The sequence below is a fragment of the Homo sapiens genome, chromosome 2, assembly GCF_000001405.40.
Source record: "Homo sapiens chromosome 2, GRCh38.p14 Primary Assembly".
NCBI lineage: Eukaryota > Metazoa > Chordata > Mammalia > Primates > Hominidae > Homo > Homo sapiens.
The window spans coordinates 180,566,794-180,575,138 of record NC_000002.12 but is presented as its reverse complement, the minus strand read 5'-3'; the positions used below and the strand labels follow the sequence as shown (position 1 = coordinate 180,575,138).

Genomic DNA, 8,345 nt, shown 5'->3' with positions numbered 1-8,345 from the left:
GACAATGTGCAATGGGCTGAGGAATATATTAAGTCAACTCTGCACTCAACTTAAAAATAAAAACAAACACATAGATCTTTAAGGCATAGAACAAATTAAGCAAATAAGAACATGAAGATGAAATAGAAAATATTAAAGAGATAAGAAAAACTTTAGATTTGGATAGATTTCAATATCTTTGTATGGAAAAAGTTGACAGTAATTTTTAAAAGTCTAACATAATATAATTTAATATTTTATTTCAGAGATTTAAAAAGGTGTTTTATGTATTTTAGAGATATAGTAAGACACTGGTCAAGGAAAGGAGAGTGTTAATTTTTAAAAAGTATCTGCATAACTGTTTCTGTCAACTCTATTTCTGGCTATAGAGGAAAAATTGTAGAGAACTGTGTAAATTTATAGAATTAAAAAAATGTTTTAAAGTATAGAATGAAGGATTAGTGGAATAAAAAGAGTTTCTGGAAGGGACTGTTAAAATACAAAAAATTCGTAATGTTAGTTTAGACTAATGATCTAATAGAGAATAAAACTGAGGTGACCAAATGATTAGGCTTGGCTCTAGAAAAGGATGGGGATTTTGTATTATAGAAATAGTTGCTGTAGTGGTGACAGACATGGGGACATTTTGAATATCTTGCTTATCCTTCCTTAGTTTCAAAGGATCATATATCTAGTATGATGACATTGTAAATCAAAGATAATAGAACCAGTCATACCTAAAAGGATAAAACTGCAGAAAGAGTTGGAAAGTCACCTAATATTTAATACTGATAATATAAATAATAATACCATTGATATCTTGAATTAATATACCCCCTCACTTCCTAGGGGCTGAAAGAGCTGTGACCGTAGCCCACAAAATGTTTCACATGAATATAAGACTGCCATCATTTTTTATAGGTTATTATATTGATTCAATGCAATGAGACCTGGTAGTGCCCCACCTTCTCTGTCAACATCAGAAGGATTTGTGGTCACATTCTCATAATGAAAAGGAAGAATGGGCTGTTAGAACTAGCCTAAGGCAGGAATTTTGATAAACGAGATGAATCATGCCTCAGGAGAGGGAGGTAGAAAAGAAATGACTAAAAATAATCAGGGTAAAAATAGTTTCAGAAACTGGAGAAAATACTACTGGAATCTCTATATTCATGTTTCAACGATAGGTATTTTTGTTGCCTCCATATGCTTCCTATACACTGATCGCCTACCTTAAATGTCCCCATGTCTGTAAGAATCAAAGCTTCTATTTCCATAATTACAAATCCCTGTCCTTTCCTAGAGCCAAGCCTAACCATTTTGTGACCTCAATTTTATTCTTCATCTGACCATTAGTCTAAAGTAACATAACATATTGATATTTTAATGGTCCTGATCCCCCCCACCCCAAGACTCCTTTTAGCCCACTAATCCTCCATTCTACACTTTAAAACACATTTTTATCTATGAATTTACACATTTCTTTATATTCTTTCCTCTATAGCCAGATATAGAGTTGACAAAAACAGCTATGTGATGACACTTTTTTTAAAATGTAACATACTCTCTTCATTCTTTAAAAAAGTCTGACTACATGTCTTAATTGCTGAATATTGAACATTTTAATGGGGCTCTGAATAAATTGTTATCTTGCTACTGTTTAAAATTAGCTCTATATTATGATTTCAATGCCTTGAATATGTCAAGCATTGTTATAATTCCTTATAGAATCATATGTATAAGATTCCTTATAGAATTATAAAACTAAACAGTTACATAACTTGCTAAACCATGTTGACCACCTTACGTAAAACCAATAATATTGTGTGGATGCAATGATTCACTGAAGTTGTTTTACTTCTAAAATGAAATTTTTATGACACAAGGTTGAAATAGTTTGGGCATTATAACCAAATATATCATTATAATAAAAAATTCTATGAAATAAACAATGCAACAATTACCCAGAATTCTGTATTCCTACTAATGTCAACTGAGAATGAGAGAAGAAATTCCAATAGTTTCATGACAGGGCTACAAATTACACGTGTTTCGTATGCTAAGGACCAAGACAAAAAACCCTCAGAGTTGACACAACGGTTTAAACTGTTGAATGAGTGTTTTGCTTTATTAGATAAAAAGATACAAGGTCATTGAAACAGTGAAAAGAAGAGAGGGAATCCTGTATACTCAGCAGAATATTGAAAAATTCTACCTTGAGGGAAATAATCAAATATTCTCATTATGTTATTATCAACAAATGTAACTTTTTCAGTCTCAGGCAATTCATCTAGTTTTGGAAAATATTAGTGATTATTAGTATATTCTCTGCTGCCTCATGATTTTTGCTTAATAATAAAATATATGATACTCTCATAAACCACAGATGTTTACGTAGAGGTTTATTACTTTCCTTCCTATACAGCTTTAATGTATTTGCTAAATATTTTCTCTTCTCCTCTGTGTCATTTTCATAATTAACAATTTTCAGCATCCCCAGACTGGGTTGCATTGCTTTGTAGCTAAAAGATCAAATACTTAATTTGAACTGAATAAGTCAGTTAGGAAATACAGCACCAAAGAAAGTGCTCAGCACCCTCTTGCAACTTCTAAACAGATGGATGTTTACTTTGCAACAGAACTATTGCTCATGAGCCTGTAATCAAATAGAGAGAGAGAGAAAGAGAGAGACAGAACAGGAGCCACTGATATAATTAGTTCTTCATTCTTCTCATATATTTAATCTAAAAAATTACTAATAATCATTTTGCTGACATGACTAGTCCTCAAAATAATGGCCCTTTATAACTTTGCTTTATTAGAGACACATTCCCTTATTTGAAATCCTCAGGGCTCAGTTGCAAAAGTCATAAGAAAAAAATACATCAAGGGCATGGTTCATTTCAAGAGCTTATGTATGAAATATACAAATTGATAAAAAGATGACTTTTTATTGAGATATAATAAACATGGCACAATATTCACTATTATAAAGTATAAAATTCAGTGACTTTTAGTCTATTCACTAAGGTATAACCTTCACTTCTACCTAATTTCAGAATATTTTTAATATTCCAAAAAGAAATCCCATACCCATTAGCAGTCATTCCCCATTCCCACCTTCTACCAACCCTTGGAAACCATGAATGTACTTTCTGTCTATATAGATTTGTCTATTCTGGATATTTCACATAAATGGAATCATATATTTGCCTTTTTGCATCTGGCTTCTTTCACTTAGCATGGTGTTTTTAAGGTTTATCCGTGCTGTAGCATGAATCAATATTTCATTTTTTATGATGATATTTCCATTTTCATTTTTTGTTAGGTATGACAAAAAGCAAGACTTTGTCTTGCTTTCATCAGTGCATGGACATTTGAGCTCTTTCAACTTTTTGGCTATGATGAACATGTTTGGAATGCTATGAACATTTATGCACAAGTTCTGGTGAGGACAGACATTTTCAATTCTCTTAGTTATGTACTTTGGAATGGCATTCCTGGTTCGTATGCTAACTCCATGTTTAACTTTTCAAAGAAACTGACAAACTGTTTTCCAAAGCAGCTGAACCATTCTACATTCCCACAAGCAATGTATGAGAGTTCCAATTTCTCCATATCCTCACTAATACTTGTTTATTGTCTGTCTTATAGCCCTCATAGTACATGTAAAGTCATAAGGAAGATTAAGTTTTACAGAAACTCATGTTAAAGGAATCTTTTGTCATGGGATTTCTTTAATGATGACTTATCTTGTTATTTAACTTATGTCAATTTATTACAAAAATCAATTTTTACAAAACTGTTAAAGTTTTTTTAAGAAACGGGTCCCTCAAACAAACCTGTTAATTAGTTGAAATGATATGGTAACTAAGAAAAGTCTCCAAACATGTGAGGAGAGATTGATATTGCCACAGTAGTAAATTATTTATCTGGCATCACTGGGGAAAGAGATGGATTCTTCAGGGAAGATGTCAGGCGTATTCTTTTTTAAACTCCTAATACTTTTAAGTCATTTCTGGTGGAATCCTTTCTAAAGTGCCTTTTGAAACAGAAAGCGCAAAGATGGTTTAGTCATTCTTGATAACTCAGGGAATGTGCTCTGAACATCTATCATAATACTCTGTTTAAATCCAGTTAAACAATCATGGACTTGTCACATGAGATATATAGAGCCGCTTACCACTGCAATAAATTTCCAAGCATTTTCAAATCTTGTGATTGTTTTATAGATTTTTTCTTTTTTTTTTTTACCCTTCTTTGCTAATGGGCTACATTTATTCATGCTGTCAATGAAAACGCTTTTGAACACTCGTTTAATGCTCTTCTTGATGATTTTTAAGCTAGGATAAAACATTAATTGGAGCACTTCTGAATCATCTGAATCTGTACACAAAATTTTATGTTTATATACATACGTTTCCTGGGGAGGCTTTGTGTTTTTTTAAGATACATTGGAAATAAGAAAGGCATACATGTTACCAAAAGCTAACAATGCCTTTTTTAGAGAAAATATAGTATCACTGCTTATTAAGGCTGACCACTGGTAAACTCTGGATAAATATGCTACTAATGTAACTATTTATTTACTGTCAATATTATTGAACCATATGCCTTTATATTTTGAAGTCTGTGGGTAGCGTAGAGGTTTGGTAGATCCTTTCCTTCCAAATCACCCAAATTTTGACATGATTCAATTTGAGTGTGTTAGCAGGCCCTGCTGTCTGATCACTAATACTAATTAAGGATCTTTAGATCTTGTATTGGTTATACCTCAGAAATGTACCTGCTCAACTCCCTCTTATCACTTGGTTACTCTTTAAAATTTGATCTTTTAAAATTAATTTTCAGACCAGTTATTTTAAAGGCCAGAAACACTTCTTAACTTTGCACATACACTTACTATGCATAAAGTAGACAAACGTCATTTTATTTATAGAATTTTCAGTTGGAAACTAATTATCTAGGTATGGCACATTCCTGAGTTATAGCTTTCTTACCTAGTTCTTCTAGAAAATTTTATTCTGTCTCAACTGCCACAAGATTTCCATCAATAAGTGAAAACTGAGATTCTGTTCTCTGACTTCACAAAAATCAAATGTTCAACACTACATAAATAAGACTAGTTATATAAATTGTGTTCCATTCATATGATGAAATATTATGCTCCCAGTAAAATATGAAGTAAGCATTTTAATGACATAATTCTTGTGATATGTCATTAAATTAAAAACTGGGATCCAAAATTATATATATAAATGATAAATTTTTGCACAAAAGCATCAAAAATATTAGATGGGAGCATGATAATTATCAACCATGTCTGATCCTAGATTTGGAGATTATGCATGATTCTTGGTAAGCAATTTAGATGTTATTCTGCTGTCAACTGAAAAAGTACTATTTTTAGGTAGGGAGTGGCACCATTTGATTTATAATTTTAAAAAGACTTTGGTTAATACATAAATAAGTAGTAAGTAGTAAGAAAGTTGTTAGAAGTCTATTGCTAGAATCACATGAAAACTTTCAGAGGCTCAAACCCCAGTGATGACATGAGGTGAATGAGAAGTACCAATATTTACGATAAAATGTAAAGGCAGAATGTAAAGTTTTGGACTGAACAACTGGAAATATAGATTTATTTAAGTGGTGAACTCCAATGCCTAATTAGAGAGGGTTGAATATATAACTGAAAGTGAGAAAGTGAAGACAGTGAGTATGGACAGTGAGTATATACTGTACAGTGAGGCTTTTGAGGCAGACCTGGTGTATAAAGGAAGTTTTTAAATCATCTTTGTATACTGATAGAGATGATCTGGGTGAAAGTGAAAAATTGATTCTGGGGATAATTATGAAATTTGCAGAAACAAAACTTTGAGAAAAAAATGATTGACAATTATAAAGTACTTATTATGCCCAAATGTAATATAATCACTTCACACTTAGTAATTCATTATCTCCTTACTCAGTTTAAGTGGGGTACTGTTATTATTCCCAGGTTATGGAGAAGAAAACTAAGACACACAGAGGGTAAGTAATTTATCTTCATTCTTAATGACTGCCTGGTACTACCTCAGAAAACTAATTGTAGGGTTAATCCAGAGGGCATATGGAGGTTTAATACTAGAAAGAAAGGGAGACATTTTTTTCTATTTCAAAGGAAATGAAGTATACATGTGGGGTGGTTGGTGAATTTGGTTTTGGGAAGAGGAAACAGCTCTCATCTGATAGAATCGATTTTCCCTCTACATGTGAGTGAAAATCGGCTGAGATGGAGATAAGGACTAGGGTTAGAAACTCAAAGAAAAAACAAGGGGGTCTGAACTACTCATTTCAGAGACTAAGGGAATGCAATTTATTGAAGAGGTACAATATAATTACTTGACAATGTGTGACTGGCCCTTGAGATTTTGAATGTAGGTACCAAGCAAGGGAACATTTGCATTTGCAGAGGCAAACGTATTGAGGGAAAAAGAGTGCCTATTTTTATAGACCCAGAATCTAAGCTGAGCCTATAAGGAAGGACATGGGAACATGGAGGTGACCAACAGCGACGTGAATGGATTAAAGTTCCTGATGTAGTCAAGGTGTTATTAAAACGCAAGTGCTAGAGTAACAGATTGGAGGTTAGAAGTGGGGATGCTTGTAACTGGGATTTTTCAAGGTAGCACAGTTACGGAGGAAAAGCTCTTTAGAGGGGGCATGCCAAGGAACTGAGACGCCCAGTGATGAAGGAAAAATGGCTTAGAAGCAACAATGGGGAAATAGGAGGATATCTATTTCATGTCATTAAAAATTATTCTGCCTCCTATAAGTAGTTGTTTAAGGTTACTTAAATCTATGCATTTGTATTAATGACAGAAAGTATGAACTTACAGAAACCAAAAGTGTGTTTTTACAAACTGATAGTATGTCAAGTTAAACAGCTCTGATAGTAATAAAAAGAGAATGATTGAATATGATATGGATATCAATTATAACAAAATCTTGAAATATTTTCTTTATAATTCTCAGAAATGAATATTTCCATAAGGAATAAATAATAAAGATGTGAGAGAATTCAACTGATCAATGTGTTTCCAGGTAGGAATGCATCTAATGTGAAACTGGCAAAATAGCAGGAAATGAAATGAGCACAATTTTAATGTATTATTTATTCTAAGTTTTTTACATTTATATTGACACAGGAAATAAGTATAATGAACAGTCACATAGGTTGAGTAGCATTTAAATAGTAAATCATCTAATTAACTAGTCACTTGAAAGCAAAAAGGAAAATTTGCTTTGGATCTGTTGATTAATTGCCACATTTCAAGAACATGTTTTAGCTGGCTGCATTTAAAAAGAAATAATATGAGATCATGAAAGCATTTCATAGTAATGAGCAGTCTCTGGTTTCTGTTTATTGCAAATACAAAGGATACTAACAATAGTTTTGGAAAAATGAGTAAAGCTCTCAGAATAACTAGCACAGAGAGATGAAACACTGGTGTGAGGCAGATCAATTCTAACACTATCTCCTGGGAAAAGAACATACTTTCTTAAAGCTAGAGTGGAAGGAATATGTGCCTCAGAATCGTATGGTTTTAACTAGTCACCTTTGCACAAAATTCCAGTTCTGGCCACATACACTCACAGGAGGGTAAACACGGTGGTTTACTAAAGACTCATCTGTCATATAAACCATTATTGTGTTGCATATTCTAGCAGGCCTTCAAACAGGGTCTTCCTTTATACATGATGGGGACAGGTTCCAATGTGTGAATTATTTCTTTGCAATTTCCCTTTTTGTTAAAATTGCTCCTTTCACATTCAAAATGAAAGGTGGGAAAATAGAAGATTGAGACCCTAATACTTTAAGGTATATAAATATTAGATTTTTTTTCTAGGCATCTACATGTGGTAATGGGAATAGGAAAAAATAAGTGGAAATAAATTGTGAAGAAAGAAGAGAGATTTCAAAAATGGAGTCTATCTGGTGTGTGTCTTTTTCTGTTTTCTCTTTTCCTAGAAGGTTGGTTATGCTCCATTGGTCAGAACAACAACACTTGAGGAATTGTTTCCTCTGTCATGCCATATACCTGATGCAGAAGAGAATGTAACAGTATGGAAAATGCTTCTGATATGATTGTAAGTGAAAAAAATAAACTCCAAGCAGAAAGCCCTAAAGGCCCTGTCCTGACCCCCTGTTCCCTCCCTTACTTCACTTCCTATGACTTTCCTTACTGTTCCCTGCATTCCAGCCCCATTGACCTCCTAGGCATGTCCCTGCCCAGGGACCTCACATTGGCTCTGGCCCTTGTCTAGACCTCTCTTTCCCTAGATATCCATGTGACTAACTACTTCTTCTCTTTTGAGATTGTTTC

General features: G+C 33.2%; 1 long non-coding RNA gene across 1 annotated transcript; it reads left to right on the top strand.

Moving 5' to 3' along the window:
• Positions 1-3,307: 3,307 nt before the first annotated feature.
• Positions 3,308-8,142, top strand: LOC105373770 (uncharacterized). Its single transcript, XR_923637.3, has 4 exons — positions 3,308-3,427; positions 5,978-6,009; positions 6,994-7,062; positions 7,991-8,142. It is a non-coding gene; the product is annotated as an uncharacterized LOC105373770 (long non-coding RNA).
• Positions 8,143-8,345: the final 203 nt, after the last annotated feature.